Below are 16675 nucleotides of genomic sequence, written 5' to 3' on the forward strand. Positions count from 1 at the left end.
TCCTGCCTCAACCTCCCAAGTAGCTGCAATTACAGGATATGCTCTTGATATATTTAGGTGAAAATAGCAAGAATAAAAATTGAACACTATACTTCTAAGGGGTGAATTTTATGGTATGTAAAAGATCTCAGTAAAAATCACATGGGAAAAAAGTTGAACACACACACAAAATACAGATGAACAGGAAAAAGGCTGAAAGAGAATACATTAAAATGTTAATAGTAGTCATCTCTAGGAGCTGGAATTTTACATAATGTTAATAGTCTTGTTTGTAGTTTTCTCACACAACACAGATTAAAATACAATAAAAAAGTGTACAATTAAAAAAATTGGAAAATGTATGAAGTTGAAAATTACTTAAATCCATGTTGAATTTTAAAAAATTGGTCAAGAAAAGAGAAGAACCACAATTCAAAGTGATGGGGGAAATGGTTGTGGTTTTGGGTGGAGGTGGAGGGTGGGGCGTGGTGTTTGGAGGGTGGGGCATGGTGTACATGTCAGCATTTGGAGAGAGGAAGGAAGAGCTACTAACGAAGCCGCTGTGTGGTTCACGTGGGGAAGAGGCTGCCATAGTGGTCTAGATAGAGAAGGTTCATCCGTGATGAGCTGGAGAATGCAGTGTGTGTGTGTGTGTGTGTGTGTGTGTCTGTGTCTGTGTGGGTGTGTGTTACAGGTTCACTCATGCGGGCACAAAGTGTATTGGAGTGTATGGAAAGATGTAAGTAAATCTAGCCATACAACTGATACTCAGCAGTCCAAAAATGAGGCAAAAGGAGAGCCCCAAAACCTAGAGAGACACTGAGCATCCCAACTAAATATAGAAGTCTCAGGTTTTATAACCAGCTCTATCCTGGATTAAACTTTTCACAAATTGGACTGGGCCCAGTGGCTCACACCTGTAATCCCAGCACTTTGGGAGGCTGAGGTGGGCGGATCACCTGAGGTCAGGAGTTCAAGACCAGCCTGGCCAACATGGTGAAACCCTGTCCCTACAAAAATACAAAAATTAGCCGGGCATGATGGCGGGTGCCTGTAATCCCAGCTACTCAAGAGGTGAGTCATGAGAATCGCTTGAACCTGGGAGGTGGAGGTTGCAGTGAGCCAAGATCATGTCATTGCACTCCAGCCTGGGCGACAGAGCAAGATTCCATTTCAAAGAAAAAAGAATTCACAAATTGTACTTACGACTGACAGTGGCTTCTATGTCTCAATTTCCCAGTCTGTATATGAAAGAGCTGTACTTCTTGTTTTCTACATACCTCAGAGAATTGCTACAGACTAAAACAATAGAAAGTTACCCATGTCATGAAGCCATGTGTAATAGAGTTGCTACCATCAAAAATTCTTCCCCAATGATTTCTAATTTAGAAATGCTAAGTTTGGTGGCTCGCACCTATAATCCCAACACTTTGGGAGGCTGGGATGGAAGGATTGCTTGAGCCCAGGAGTTTGAGACCAGCCTGGGCAACATAGGAGACCCTTGTCTCTATTGAAAAAAAAAAATTAGCTGGGTGTGATGGCGGCACACACCTGTAGTCCCAGCTACTCGGGAGGCTGAGGTTGGAGGATTGCTTAAGCCTAGGAGGTCAAGGCTGCAATGAGCTGTGGTCACACCACTGTTTACTCCAGCCTGGGTGACAGAGCTAGACCTTGTCTCAAAAAAAGAAAAAAAGAAATGCAATTTTTTTTTTTACATATCTTACAACATTCCCTAACATTAGTGGTCTCCAAACTAATTACATGGTAAAGAGTAATGTCGAGCTAGCCACAATCAAGAGTAAATGTCATACAGTCCTTTACCTCTGTAGCTTATAATCCTGTAGCAATTTCCCTTTTCTTCCTTATCTTTGAGTTGCATGAACATTCACTTCAGTCTGACTAATCACTGATCTGGAACATTCGCCCACCTCCTGCCTTGTTCATTCTGAAATGTCTGCCCTCTTGCCTGCCTAACCAAACATTATTCTTCCTTTGAGGGCAGATTTAGTTCCACTGTCCCATAGACTCTTTCTTACCCTTAGGCCCGTGGGGATCTCCTCCTGCTTGGAATTTGAGCATCACACCTTCTTTGCCACATATTTGCAACTTAGTTTCATGATGATTCCTTAGTCTAGCCCGTGCAATGAACTGACCTCTCTCTTTCCATGGTAACATTTCAGTCCTTAATAATCTGTGCTATGTTTAGTGAGACTGAAAACTTTATTATCCCCACTTTAGACATTAGAAACCAGATTTGTAATTTTTCAAGTGTCAAATGAGAACCATGTGGCTAAGTGCCCACATACATCTGGGGTTCTATTACTATGGAGGAAAAGCAGAACGGATATATTGGAGGACATCTAGCAGCCTGTATCATAGGAGAGAAATGTAAAATGATCATGTCAGAAAAGGACAATTAAAAGGATTAGTACAAGCAGCTCATGCCAGGGCCTTGCTGTGGGAAATCATAAAGAAAGAACTGAAAGTGGACCTTGAAGGTAGGTATATCAGTGATCTATTGTTATGAACAAATCACCACAAACCTAGAGGCTTAAAACAACACTCATTTATTTTTATTTATTTTATTATTATTATTATTATTTTTGAGATGGAGTCTCGCTCTACTGCCCAGGCTGGAGTGCAGTGGCGCAATCTCCGCTCACTGCAAGCTCCGCCTCCCAGGTTCACGCCATTCTCCTTCCTCAGCCGCCCGAGTAGCTGGGACTACAGGTGCCCGCAACCACATCCAGCTAATTTTTTGTATTTTTAGTAGAGACGGGGTTTCACCGTGTTAGCCAGGATGGTCTCGATCTCTCGACCTCGTGATCCACCCGCCTCGGCCTCCGAAAGTGCTGGGATTACAGGCGTGAGCCACCACGCCCGGCCTTATTATTACTATTTTTTGAGACGGAGTCTCGCTCTGTCACCAGGCTGGAGTACAGTGGCATGATCTCAGCTCACTGCAACCTCTGCCTCCCGGGTTCAAGTGATTCTCCTGCCTCAGCCTCCCAAGTAGCTGGGACTACAGGCACGCACCACCATGCCCAGCTAATTTTTGTATTTTTAGTAGAGACGGAGTTTCACCATGTTGGCCAGGATGGTCTCGATCTTTTGACCTCATGATCCACCCGCCTTAGCCTCCCAAAGTGCTGGGATTACAGGTGTGAGCCACCGCGCCTGGCCACAACACTCATTTATTATCTCACAACTGTGTAGGTCAGAAGTCCTGCATGGTGTGACTGGGTTCTCTGCTCAGTGTCGCAAAGCTGAAATAAAGGTGTCTACTGGACTGAAAACAAGGTGTCCCCTGGAGCTCTCAGCTGGAGGAAAAATCTGTTTCCAAGATCATTCTTCTTGTTGGTAGAGTTCAGCTCCTTGTAACTGTGCGACCAACTTCCCCGTTTCCTTGCTAGCTGTCAGGGGCCACTCTCAGCTCCTAGGGGCTGCCCACATACCTTGACCCATGGCCTCCCACGTCTTTAATCTAGCAACAGCTCATCAAATCCTCTTGTGCTTTTGAGTTCATTTGTTGTAACTGGCCAGAGAAAACTCTCTGCTTTAAAAGAGCTCATGTGATTAGGTCAAGCCCACTTGGATAATCTCCCTGTTTTAAGACCAACTGTGCTATATAATGTAATCTGATTATGAAAGTAAAATCCCTTATAGTCACAGCCTGGGGATTATGGAGAGTGTGTATATTCGGAGTGAGAAATCCCGGGGGACATCTTAGAATTCTGTCTACCACAATAGGTAAGAGTTAGACAAGCACTGATAGCTTTCTAGGTGGGAAAGAAATGTGGAGAAAAGCTCAAAAGTGAAACTCTACCAGGAATTTCTGGAGACTGTGAATATGTCAGTTTGTGACTGCTCTAATAATGATAATGGTTTCTTTTACTGAAGGTCTCCTAGGTGCTTTACAAATTCCCTTACATCAGCTCTGTGACGGTGCTATTATCCCACTTGCCGGAGTTATATCTCCATCAAGTTGTGAAGCTGGGGTTCTGGCTTGAGCTCTGGATGGCTCTGAATTTATGCTGTTTGCACTGTTTAACCTGCCTGTCTGTGGGTCTAAGGTGGGGAAGCTGAAGGCAGTAAGGTTGGTCTGGACCCAGATTGTGGAGGGCATTGGTGTTAACACATGCTAACAGGCACCAAGAAAGATTTTAGAGGGAGCCAGTGAATGTGGAAATCAGGGGGACGGAAATGGGTATGATTATGGATGTTGGGGAGCACATGGGCTGGATGTGCAATGTGATATTCTTTTTGGGAGGTTAATATGGCCAGTCAGGCATTAAAGATGATTACATGATCAAGCCTCTGAGTCTTCCTGCCAATCTGTAGGAAATATATAGTTCAGAAGAACAAGTTAAACTACACATAAATATACAATCAGCAAAGTGGGGACAGGGTGAGGATTTAACAAAATCATACACTTTTTGGGAGGCTATATATACTTTGGGAGGCCATTTATACTTTGGGAGGCCAAGGCAGGTGGATTTCTTGAGTCCAGGAGTTTGAGATCAGCCTGGACAACATGGCGAAACCTTGTCTCTATCAAAAATACAAAAATTAGCCGGGCGTGGTGGCATGCACCTGTGGTCCCAGCTACTTGGGATGCTGAGGTGGGAGAATCACCTGAGCCTGGGGAGGTCAAGGCTGCAGTGAGCCGAAATCACACCACTGCACTCCAGCCTGGACAATCGGAGTGAGACCCTATCTCAAAAAATAAAAACATAAATAAAAATAAATAAAATAAAATAATTTTTAAAATAAAAAAATCATATCGTTCCATCACTCAACTTTTTTTTTTTTGGACAGGGAGTCTCACTCTGTTGCTCAGGCTAGAGTGCAATGGCACGGTATCAGCTCACTGCAACCTCCACCTCCCAGGTTCAAGCAAGTCTCCTGTCTCAGCCTCCCGATTAGCTGGGATTACAGGCACCTGCCACCACACCTGGCTAATTTTTGTATTTTTAGTTGAGACGGGGTTTCACCAGGTTGGCCAGGCTGGTCTTGAACCCCTGACCTCAGGTGATCTGCCTGCCTCAGCCTCCCAAAATGCTGGGATTACAGGCGTGAGCCACCGTGCCTGGCCCCATCACCCAAATATTTATACTATTAACACAAAGTAATGGGCAGAGAAAACAGCTGTGGTGGTTGTGGTAGGACTAGACAAAAATTTTCATTTGATGTGAGAATCTTTTGCTTGGAGGCATTACTGAAAGTGTTTACCTCAGAATGGGAAAGCTTGGGCAAAAGCGAATTTGAAGTAAGTAAGACGTTTGGAAGATGTCTTTTTTTTTTTTTTTTTTTTTTTGAGACAGAGTCTTGCTCTGTCGCCCAGGATGGAGTGTAGTGGCGCGATCTCCGCTCACTGCAAGCTCCGCCTCCCGGGTTCACGCCATTGTCCTGCCTCAGCCTCATGAGTAACTGGGACTACAGGCGCCCGCCACCACGCCTGGCTATTTTTTTTGTATTTTTAGTAGATACGGGGTTTCACCGTGTTAGACAGGATGGCCTAGATCTCCTGACCTCGTGATCCGCCCGCCTCAGCCTCCCAAAGTGCTGGGATTACAGGCGTGAGCCATCGCGCCCGGCCTGGAAGATGTCTTATACAAAGCGTGAGGGAACTGGATAATTTGGTCTTACCTATCAAAATATAAAATGCATATACTTTTGCGTTTTTCTCTTTCCTGGTAGGCATTTGCGCTAGATAAATACACAGATGCACAGCACAGGGGTAAGTACAATTCATGCAGAATTGTTTTTTAATAGTGAAAACCAGGACCCAACCCAAGTCCATGAGTAGGAAATTGGTTCTGTAAATAGTTTTATTTCATGCAATGGAATATCATGCAGTCATTAAGAAGAATGAGGTAGACCTCTACCAGCAGTGAAAGATAAGGGCATTTTAATCAAGGGCAATCATACCTAGTTCCAGGAAAATGTTTATTAATCTCATTTAGTTAGAAAATATATATGTAGAAGTGAATCTATAGACAAGTCTAGAAGGCTACACACCCAGCTGTTAAACAGAATGTCTTTGAGGAGGGCAGGGGGCGGAGTCTGCGTTTACGTGAATGGGACGCTGCTGTTTCTCAGTGCACCTCTGCTGTTTGAATCTTTTACTAAAAACCTTCCCATGCATTGCTGGGAGGGAATGGAAGGAGTATTTTGAGGGTTTCGTGTGAAGGGAAAAGTTGAGGAGGGGACGTGGGAGACCCCTTGGTCTCATCAAACTCTAGCGCCGCTTGAGGTGAGGAGACCCCGCCCCGCTGAGGTGATTCTGCAGAGGGGCGGAGCCCCCCAGATCCGAGGCGGGAGGCGGCCCGGGGGCGGGACCAGCCGGCTCCAGCGGCCCGCTCCGCTCCCACCATGCCCTTATAAGGAGCGCCCGGCGTTAGGGCTCGGGAATCCGGTAGCAATCCCGGCGGCTCAGCCCCAATCCCAGGCCCCTCCCTTAGGAATGGGGGAGGGGCGGGGTTTGGCGGCGCGGTGGCTGGGGCGGAGCATCTCGAAAAGGGACCAGTAGGAGTGGCGGCCCAGGTCTGAGCTGCGCTGCCATTGGGCGCGGCGACGAGAGGGGGCGGGGAGCCCGTGAGGCTGGTTACGCCGAGGGAAGCCCCGACTCCGTAGTCGCTGCACAGTCTGTCTCTTCGCCGGTTCCCGGCCCCGTGGATCCTACTTCTCTGTCGCCCGCGGTTCGCCGCCCCGCTCGCCGCCGCGATGCCAGTGTTTCATACGCGCACGATCGAGAGCATCCTGGAGCCGGTGGCACAGCAGATCTCCCACCTGGTGATAATGCACGAGGAGGGCGAGGTGGACGGCAAAGCCATTCCTGACCTCACCGCGCCCGTGGCCGCCGTGCAGGCGGCCGTCAGCAACCTCGTCCGGGTGAGCGCGCAGGGCCTGGCGCGGGAGCGGGCGCGGGAGGTATCCCCGGGGCCCCGGCCCGCGTCGCGGCTGCCTGTGGCCGGCTCGCTGGCCGTGGCTTTCCGCGTGGGTTCCGGAGCCAGGCGCCGAGGGTTCGAATGGCCTCTTCTCCGCCCTGTGACCTTGAGCGAGTCCTGAGCCTCTCCGGGCCTCAGTGTCCTCATCTATAAAATGGGAGCAGTCATGAAAAAGGCTGCCTTGCGGGCTTGTCGTGAAGATATGGCGAGGTATTATTCGTGGAGTGCCTCGCGCGGCGTGTGGCCCACAGCAGACACCCAATAAATGAGAGTTGCTGGGATGTCCGAGGGTCCCTGCCCCGCGCAGGCTTCGCCCCCACGTTGACTTCCTCGCTCTCAGCGCCTTTTAGGCCTCCTCGATCTGGCTGTGCGGGGGAGGGAGAGCGGGCCTTCCCACGGATCCCTTGCCTTCTCTTCTAGGGATCCTTATTTGAGCCACGTTGTCCTCCTTTCTAATACTTCTGCCCCTCACCCTGAGACCCGCCTCGCCCACCCCCGCTCCCCAGAGCTCCCTGTATTCCGCCCTTTTATTCACTTGCCTCACTCTCTGTCGCCTCCTCCTCCCTCCTGGGCATTTTACTTATGCTCACTCCTCTGGCACTCTCACACCTTTATGCAGTCATTCGTGACCACAAGCCCGGTTTTTCCTTCCGCTCAGCCCTGCTGCCCTTCCTTTCATTCCCTCCTGTGGACATTTTCACCTGGCGTTACCTGCTGTCAAACGGCCTCCTCCCACTGGGGCCTTTCTAGACTCGGGGGCCCTCCTTGGCCCCTCCTCCTGGCAGGAAGCAAGATGGAGCTGTTGGGAGAGGCCTGTGGAATCTGGGATCTGCCGCCCCTGCCGGAGAGAAGGCTGGGGCATCCGCTCCCCATCCACAACTTTCCTGGTGGCTCTGCAGACCCCTGTAACCCACAGCTGTGACTCATAACCGAGGTGATTCCTGGAGGAGGTGGAGCCCACGTCTGAAATGGGAAAAAAGAGGTGCTGAGACCAGTCTCCCAAGACTCCCCTGGCTAATGTCACACTTTTCTTTCCCACCCTGGGTGGGTGACTCAGACTGGTCCTGCTTGTGAGGAACAATTTTGGAAAAAGTTCATACTGCTCCCCCACTGAGCTGTGTAAATAGTGTGTGTCAGGGCAGTTGGGCGGCAACTGTGGGTCTGTCTGGGTGGGGCTTGGGTTACTTTTCTGATTTGAGCACTTTAGTGCACTTAGAGGCTCTTTAGCAGCTGAAAGTCTTCCTCAGTCTTCAGGGGTCCCTGGACTGTCTCAAGCAATTTAGGAGACTGGTAGCTAGGAAGACAGGGTGACACCACCGACCAAATTCCTGATCTTTCTTCTCTATAGCTTTAGTAAGAATCTATTCATTCAGTAAGAATGCTGTATTCATTCACAATGTCTACTTGTACATTGTTCTTCTTTTTATAACTAATTTGAACAGAACACTCCAGAGTACATTCTTATGTAGTGTTGTCTAACATGGCTGCATTCCAGGCCTCCATTTTTCAACAAATAGGAAACAATGTAAAGAGACAAGGTAATAGTGTCTCTCCATGTAGTACTTCAGGAAATGAAATCTTAAAACCACATGTTGCACTTGGAACAGAGCTAGTGTAGTCTAGGGGTTGATATCTGGTTAGGCTATTTAGAGAAAAGTTATTTATGGGCTTCCATGCCATGAATTAATAAGCATTGAATGTCTGCTATATGGAAAACACTGCAATAAATCAGTGCTTCTCAGCTTAAGAGTGTTCATGAAAATCATCAGTGAGGCTTTTTAGAAATTAAGATGTCCAGCTCCCACGGGTCAAGGCCTTTGTATTTTGCTTTTTTTTTTTTTTTTTTTTGAGACAGGGTCTCGCTCTGTCACGCAGGCGCTGGAGTGCAATGGCGTGATCATAGCTCACTGCAGCCTCCATCTCCTGGACTGAGAAAAATCCTCCCACCTCAGCCTCCCAAGTAGCTGAAGGCCTTTGTTTGTTTGTTTGTTTGTTTGTTTTTGAGATGGAGTCTTCCTCTGTCACGAGGCTGGAGTGCAGTGACACGATCTGGGCCCACTGCAACGTCCTCCTCCCAGGTTCAAGTGATTCTCCTGCCTTAGCCTCCCGAGTAGCTGGGACTACAGGTTCGCACCACCGTGGCCAGCTAATTTTTGTATTTTTAGTAGAGGCGGGGTTTCACCATGTTGGCCAGGATGATCTCCATCTCTTGACCTTGTGATTTGCCCGCCTCGGCCTCCCAAAGTGCTGAGATTACAGGCATGTGCCACTGTGCCCGGCCAGGCCTTCGTATTTTTTAGGAAGCTCCATAGGTGATTGTGATATACGGCCTTAGTTAGGAAACACTGTAATACACACTGTGAGACAAATACAAAAGAAATAAGGTTATAAGATGAAAACAATGATATGTAGTTAAGTTATATACTTTCCAACACATACAAAAGAGGGGACTTGAGATTGGTGGTAGCTATGGGTTAGCAGAGACAAAGTAGGGAGGATTGTGCTGATAAATAGTTAATCATGAACAAAGGTACTTGTGAGTAAGTCACTTCCAGGTTACAGCAAGTAGATTATCTTGATTGCAGCTCAGGAGACAAGTTGGAGAGAAATTGGAGATGAAGTTAGTGCGTGACATATGGGCAGTGTAACATAGGCCTTATCCAAAAGGATGAACAAAGAGAGCAGGAGGGGAAGGAGGATGAGAATAGTGTGTGAGAAAGACTGCGTGAGAATGGCGTGTGAGAATAGTATAGTGTGTTTTGGGGAGGCCAGAGGACCTACCCATTGCTTCACATTCTTGGTGCCAACTGTGACCGTTAAATATGTGGATTCTGTACATGCTTCAAGATTGTTCCTGGAGGTCAAGCCTTGTCTGATATTCCTCTCTTTTTAAAAAATTTTATTTTGGTTTTAAATAGAGACAGGGTCTTGTTATGTTGCCCAGGCTGGTCTCGAATCCCTGGGCTCAAGCAATCCTCCCGCCTTGGCCTCTCAAAGTGCTGGATTACAGTTGTGAGCTACTGTGCCTGGTCTGATATTTCTTTATATGGTCCTCAGTTCCTGCCCTCAAAATTGGCACATAGGATCACTCAATAAATATTGTTGAAGGAACTATGGGAAGGGAGACAAATTGGGAAGCTTTTAAAATTGGTTGGTTATGAAGAAAATGAAGGCCTGGACTTGCGAGTGGCAGGGAAAATGGAGAAGGAATTAATCAGAAATATATTAGAAGAAGAAATAATAGAACTGGATAATTGAACTCTGAATTTGCTAGAAAAGAAACATAGTATTACGGTAAAATAATGAAACTGATTTTAGAACAAATCTTCTGGAATTTATGTAATCTGGGTGAGTATTTCTTGGGAGTTACTTTGGGAGGTTATATCCTTATTCTAGTGCTTTTCTTTGGGAATTTCTTTCAGATTATTTACATACGTATGCCAAATTAGTCTTATTTTGGTCAAGAAAGTGTACATTTTGACTGAAGTAGGCATTCTTGAGCTCAACTACTTCATTTACTGTTCTTGAGCCTAAATGACTTTTGGATATTTCCATAATTAAAATTTACTAGATGAAGATGAAATTTTCAATTGTTGTAATAGTCATTCACTTATCAAGCAGGTGTTTATTGAGACCCCTTCCAATGTCAAAGCAATAAGTGTGATGCCTGTCACAATCAGTATGATACTGAATTGGAAGTCTTTTTTTTCTGAGATGGAGTTACGCTCTTATTGCCCAGGTTGGAGTGCAGTGGCATGATCTTGGCTCACCGCAACCTCTGTCTCCCAGGTTCAAGTGATTCTCCTGCCTCAGCCTCCCTAGTAGCTGGGATTACAGGCATGTGCCACCACGCCCGGCTAATTTTGGATTTTTAGTAGAGACGGGGTTTCTCCATGTTGGTTAGGCTGGTCTTGAACTCCTGACCTCAGGTTATCCGCCCGCCTCGGCCTCCCAAAGTGCTGGGATTACAGGCGTGAGCCACCACGCCCGGCTGAATTGGAAATCTTAAGTGGCACTGAGGAAACAGAGTATGATGGAAAGTCAGAGGAAGACGAGATTACTTTTGATTGGAGAATCAGGGAAGGCTTCACAGAGGATATAACATTGAGTTGGGTCTTAAAGACAGATAGGATTTGAATATTTAGAGATGTGGTAAGAAAGGTATTACTTGGCCAAGTATGGTGGCTCATGCCTGTAATCCCAGCACTTTGGGAGGCCGAGGCGGGCTGATCACGAGGTCAAGAGATGGAGACCATCCTGGCCAACAGGGTGAAACCCCGTCTCTACTAAAAATACAAAAATTAACTGGGCATGGTGGCACGCGCCTGTAGTCCCAGCTACTCGGGAGGCTGAGGCGGGAGAATCGCTTGAATCCGGGAGGTGGAGGTTGCACTGAGCTGAGATCTTGCCACTGCATTCCAGCCTGGTGACAAAGGAAGACTCTGTCTCAAAAAAAAAAAAAAAAAGAAAGACATTACTTACTTTTATGGGGGCAGAACTCATTAGGATTTGTAATTTCATGTATATTTGCTAAGCAAAGTAGTCTGGTCACTGATATATATATATAAATATATATATAAAATTTGCAACTGGGTCATCACTTTTACTCCACAATTAGGGAGGGGGTAGGGTGGGAGTATTTATTTATTTATTTATCTTGAGATAGAGTCTCACTGTGTAGTCCAAGCTGGAGTGCAGTGGCGTGACCTCAGCTCACTGCAACTTCTGCCTCCCGGGTTCAAGTGATTCTCCTGCCTCAGCCTCCCAGGTAGCAGGGATTACAGGCATGTACCACTTAAAACTCTATTTAAGGCAGTTTTAAACACAGAGAGTGAGTCCAATTCAATAATGAAACAAGGAAGAGGAGGTAGTCAAGGGAAGGGTGGGAAAGGAAAAATAGGAGAAGGGCACAAGAAATTCTAAGAAGGCTTGGATTCAGCAGGCAGTGTGAAAAAGTCACAAGTCTTAGACTGAGTACTTTGTAGCATGGTATATAAATTTTTCTTTTTTTCATTAAAATGGCCCATAGAAATGTGTCAGTCTGTGATGTGACATTATAGTCATGCCAGTTTTGTTAATGGGGCTTCAGATACTTTGCTTTCTCCAGTGCATCTGAGAGCATGTGTTGTAAGTACTCCTTGGGCTCATGAAATATTTATTTTGGGAGTTTTTTGTGGCCTTGACTTTTATGGGCCTCACTTGTATATCATATGTTCTTGGGACCAGCTCTGGGACAAATAGCAGTATTATCTTCACTTTACACTGATAAATGGGAAAGACTGCTCTGCTCTTGTTTTGTTGTTGTTTAGAGATGGAGTCGCTCTGTCGCCCAGGCTGGAGTGCAGTGGTGTGATCATAGCTCACTGCAGCCTCGAACTCCTGGGCCCAACAGATCCTCCCACCTCAGCCTCCTTAGTAGCTGGGACTACAGGGGTGCACCTCCATGCCTGGCTAATTTAAAATTTTTTTTATAGAGATAGGGTTTCACTATATTTCCAAGGCTGGTCTTGAACTCCTGGCCTCAAACAATACTGCTGCCTCAGCCTCCCAAAGTGCTGGGATTATAGGCATGATCCACTGTGTCCAGCCTACTCTGATCTTAAAAGGAGATCAGCAGTTAATTTTGTCATTTGTAATTATCAGTATTAACATCTGAAAATATTTTTGCTTTAAAATTTGGTTGATATTAGACTTTATTTCAGTTAAGTAAATAACAGTGTTTGGGTGGGTGATTTTTTTCTTCTTAATATATTTCTGTATTTTCCAATTTTTGAAAATTAATATATAATTCCTATGCTAAGGAAAAAATAGAGTAAATAAAAAGAATATTTATGTGATCATTTATAGCTCATAAAATACTTTTATATTTATAATCTCATAGCAGTCTATGGGTAGGTATAGTGGTGGTCTCCGTTTTACAGATGAGGGAGGATACTGTAGTTCAGATAAATTAAGTAACCTGCCCACAGTGGCACAGCTGGTTAACCTGGACTTGAACTGTGGTCTGTTGTTCCAGATCCTCTGCTTTTTTTCACACCACCATTCCACATCTACTTAGAGCAAAGTTGTTAAATATCAGTGGAGGTTTCCCACCTAGAATCAGAAGCAACAGGAATGCTGTTAGTCATAGAGGTTCCATTTGTCCTGGGTCTGGCAACAGTATCTGTTTAGAGCCTGGCTTTAGCATAGCCTGCATGAATGGCCTATATGAGAAGAATGATGTGAAGGTAAGCTTGTTTCATAGCCACACCCAATTTCATAGCATTTCTTTTCTTTTCTTTTTTTTTTTTTGAGACGGAGTCTCACTCTCTTGCCCAGGCTGGAGTGCAGTGGTGCGATCTCAGCTCACCGCAACCTCCGCCTCCTGGGTTCAAGCGATTCTCCTGCCTCAGCCTCCCGAGTAGCTGGGATTACAGGCATGCACCACCATGCCTGGCTAATTTTTGTATTTTTAGTGGACACTAGGTTTCACCATGTTGGCCAGGGTGGTCTTGATTTCCTGACCTCAGGCCATCCACCCTCCTCGGCCTCCCAAAGTGCTGCGGTCACAGACATGAGCCACCACGCCTGATCCACAGCATTTCTTTTTTGAGAAATTAGAGTAGATACAGATCAGCACAAAAGTATGCCTGCAAAACAGATGAAGAGTTTTTGTGGTATATGTGCCTGCTTAGCTTGAAGCCTGTTAGAATGAAATCGTATGTAAAATAACTTTGTAGATTACTTGGGGAATCATGAAGTTTCATTTGTAAAGCTGTTGCTACATCAAAAGAGATGTAAGAACGAGACAGATATCTATATCTATAGATAGATATATGTATTTTTCTTTTTTTTCTTTTTTGAGATGCAGTCTCGCCCTGTTGCCCAGGCTGGAGTGCAGTGGTGCGATCTTGGCTCACTGCAACCTCTGCCTCCCAGGTTCAAGCGATTTTCCTGTCTCAGCCTCCTGAGTAGCTGGGATTACAGTCGTGTGCCACCACGCCTGGCTAATTTTTTGTATTTTTAGTAGAGATGGGGTTTCACCATGTTGGCCAGGCTGGTCTCAAACTCCTGACCTCATGTGATCCACCCGCCTTGGCCTCCCAAAGTGCTGGGATTACAGGTGTGAGCCATTGCACCCAGCCAGAGACAGAGATATATTTTGTTCCAATCATTTTTAACATTTACTCATGTGACTGAGAGAACAGAAGATTTTTGGAGATGGGCAGTTATCCGTCGGTATCCATGGGGGATTGGTTGCAGGAACCCCCCTCGGATACCAAAATCTGCAGATACTCAAGTTACTTACATAAAGTGGCATGGTATTTGCATATAACCTATGCACATCCTCCTGTATACTTTGTCATCTCTAGATTACTTATACTGTAATACCTAATATGATGTAAATGTTATAAATAGTTATACTGTTTTTTTAATTTTTATTTTTATTGTTGTATTGTTTTTTATTTTTATTTTTATTTATTTATTTTTTTGAGACAGAGTCTCGCTGTTTCACCCAGGCTGGAGTGCAATTGCACGATCTCAGCTCACTGCAACCTCTGCCTCCCAGATTCAAGAGATTCTCCCACCTCAGCCTCCTGAGTAGTTGGGATTACAGGCACCCACCATAATGCCTGGCTAATTTTTGTATTTTTAGTAGAGACAGCGTTTCACCTTGTTAGCCAGGCTGCTCTTGAACTCCTGACCTCAGGTGATCCGCTCGCCTCGGCCTCCCAAAGTGCTGGGATTACAGGTGTGAGCCACTGTGCCCGGCCTATTTTTATTTGTATTTGTATATTTTTGATCTCCAGTTGGTTGAATCCATAGATGTGGAACTCAAGGATATGCAGGGCTATAGCTATGTTTAAATTTTAATGGAACCACAACTTAAATGTTTGTTTACATCCACACAGTGGAAAATTGGGCTTTTCTAAAGCTGTTTTATAAATAGAGCTGGTATAACTCTAAATGGACAAAGTAAGAGGGCAAAAGTCCTCTGGTATCAGCAACAGTAGCTTAGATTGGGTCCTCCTGTTACAGTCCTGGAGTAAGGACAACAGTAGGACAAACTACTTTTATAGGACTCATTTGAATTTTACTATTTCTTAGATATTTGTTTAAAAACAAACTAGCCTGGTTATTTCATACACAGGTTGAGTATCTCTAATCTGAAAATCTGAAATCTGAAATGCTCCAAAATCTGACTTTTTGAGTATTGACGTGATGCCACTTGTGGAAAATTCCACATCTGACCTCATGATAGGTAGAAGTCAAAACTTTGTTTCATGCACAAATTATTACAACTATTATGTAAAATTACCTTCATGCTATGTGTATATGAAACATAAATGAATTTTGTGTTTAACCTTTGGTCCTATCTCCAATATAGCTCATGATATATATGCAAAAATTCCCAAATCCAAAAAAATCTGAAATATGAGATACTTCTGATCTGAAGCATTTCAGATAAGGGATATTTAACCTGTACTTATTTAATTACTCATCATTTATATAGTTATGAAGTGTTTATGTTTTATATATAGTCATTTTATTTTTATTTATTTATTTATTTTGAGACAGGATCTTGCTCTGCTGCTCAGGCTGGAGTGCAGTGGCACAATCTGGGCTCACTGTAGCGTCGACCTACTGGGCATTGATCCTCCCACCGCAGCCTCCCGAGTAGTTGGGACTACAGGCTTACACCATCATGCCCAACTATTTTTGTATTTTTAGTAGTATTTAAACAAATATCCAAATGGGGTTTTGCCATGTTGCCCAGGCTGTTCTTGAACTCCTGGGCTCAAGTGATCCACCTGCCTTGGCCTCCCAAAGTGCTGTGATTACAGATGTGAGCCAGTGTGCCTGGCCAGGATTGTAACTTTAAGAGCCTTCTGACAACTTCCCAGTCTTTCACTGCACCCTTTGAAATGGGTAGGATAGGAATATCCTCATTATCCACAGCCTGTAGTTCAGCATAGCATGGAGATGCTCTGTTATTACACTCATACTTGTTCAGTGTTTGTCATCTCACTAAGTTGTAGGTTCCTCAGTGGCAGGGACAATATGCCTCTCCGGGTTATAGGTATGCAATATACTTTTTTTTGAGACGGAGTTTCGCTCTGTTGCTCAGGCTGCAGTGCAGTGGGACAATCTTGGCTTACTGCAACCTCTGCCTCCCGGGTTCAAGTGATTCTCCTGCCTCAGCCTCCTGAGTACCTGGGATTACAGGCACGTGCCACCACACCCAGCTAATTTTTGTATTTTTAGTAGAGACAGGGTTTTACCATGTTGGTCAGGTTGGTCTCGAACTCCTGACCTCAAGTGATCCACCTGCCTTGGCCTCCCGAAGTACTGGGATTACAGGCATGAGCCGCTGCGCTCAGCCTAAATTTTTTTTTCCTTTTTTTTTGAGATGGAGTTTCATTCTTGTTGCCCAGGCTGGAGCGCAGTGGCACAATCTCCGCTCACTGCAACCTCTGCCTCCTGGGTTCAAGTGATTCTCCTGCCTCAGCCTCCCAAGTAGCTGGAATTACAGGCACCCACCACCATGGACGGCTAATTTTTGGTATTTTTAGTAGAGATGGGGATTCACCATGTTGGCCAGTCTGGTCTCGAAGTCCTGACCTGAGGTGATCTACCCACCTTAGCTTCCCAAAGTGCTGGGATTATAGGCATGAGCCACCGCGCCCGGCCTAAATTTTTAAATTAAGTGAACATATGCATAGCATTTATTTTTATTTATAACATATAATATTAGGAATTATCGT

General features: G+C 45.3%; 1 protein-coding gene across 2 annotated transcripts in view, besides 8 other annotated features; it reads left to right on the forward strand.

Moving 5' to 3' along the window:
- Window positions 281–711: a transcriptional cis regulatory region, noted in NCBI's record as "candidate enhancer chr10.2661 targeted for multiplex CRISPR interference". NCBI's record gives its function as "positively regulates VCL gene expression with high confidence in K562 cells {active_cell/tissue: K562}" and the evidence as "EXISTENCE:mutant phenotype evidence [ECO:0000015][PMID:30612741]".
- Window positions 1728–2011: a transcriptional cis regulatory region, noted in NCBI's record as "candidate enhancer chr10.2662 targeted for multiplex CRISPR interference". NCBI's record gives its function as "positively regulates VCL gene expression with high confidence in K562 cells {active_cell/tissue: K562}" and the evidence as "EXISTENCE:mutant phenotype evidence [ECO:0000015][PMID:30612741]".
- Window positions 6223–6582: a silencer, noted in NCBI's record as "silent region_2498". NCBI's record gives its function as "represses an Ori minimal core promoter by ATAC-STARR-seq in GM12878 lymphoblastoid cells {active_cell/tissue: GM12878}" and the evidence as "EXISTENCE:reporter gene assay evidence [ECO:0000049][PMID:35858748]".
- The window catches only part of VCL (vinculin), a 123248-nt gene continuing 113186 nt past the window's right edge, over window positions 6614–16675 (forward strand). For both annotated transcript variants that reach the window (NM_003373.4, NM_014000.3), the window contains exon 1: window positions 6614–6873. In NM_003373.4, coding sequence (NP_003364.1) covers window positions 6706–6873 — 168 coding nt within the window. In that variant the 5' untranslated portion in view covers window positions 6614–6705. The remainder of the gene's footprint in view (window positions 6874–16675) is intronic.
- Window positions 6643–6842: an enhancer, noted in NCBI's record as "active region_3587". NCBI's record gives its function as "activates an Ori minimal core promoter by ATAC-STARR-seq in GM12878 lymphoblastoid cells {active_cell/tissue: GM12878}" and the evidence as "EXISTENCE:reporter gene assay evidence [ECO:0000049][PMID:35858748]".
- Window positions 6913–6962: a silencer, noted in NCBI's record as "silent region_2499". NCBI's record gives its function as "represses an Ori minimal core promoter by ATAC-STARR-seq in GM12878 lymphoblastoid cells {active_cell/tissue: GM12878}" and the evidence as "EXISTENCE:reporter gene assay evidence [ECO:0000049][PMID:35858748]".
- Window positions 6913–7566: a biological region, named in NCBI's record as "H3K27ac hESC enhancer GRCh37_chr10:75758175-75758826".
- Window positions 6915–7566: an enhancer, noted in NCBI's record as "H3K27ac hESC enhancer chr10:75758175-75758826 (GRCh37/hg19 assembly coordinates)". NCBI's record gives its function as "activates a minimal SCP1, AML or CMV promoter by ChIP-STARR-seq in primed H9 embryonic stem cells {active_cell/tissue: H9 hESC(primed)}" and the evidence as "EXISTENCE:reporter gene assay evidence [ECO:0000049][PMID:30033119]".
- Window positions 12929–13223: a silencer, noted in NCBI's record as "tiled region #4496; HepG2 Repressive non-DNase unmatched - State 17:Gen3'". NCBI's record gives its function as "represses a minimal TATA promoter and a strong SV40 promoter by Sharpr-MPRA in HepG2 cells {active_cell/tissue: HepG2}" and the evidence as "EXISTENCE:reporter gene assay evidence [ECO:0000049][PMID:27701403]".

Source organism: Homo sapiens, chromosome 10 (genome assembly GCF_000001405.40).
Source record: "Homo sapiens chromosome 10, GRCh38.p14 Primary Assembly".
NCBI lineage: Eukaryota > Metazoa > Chordata > Mammalia > Primates > Hominidae > Homo > Homo sapiens.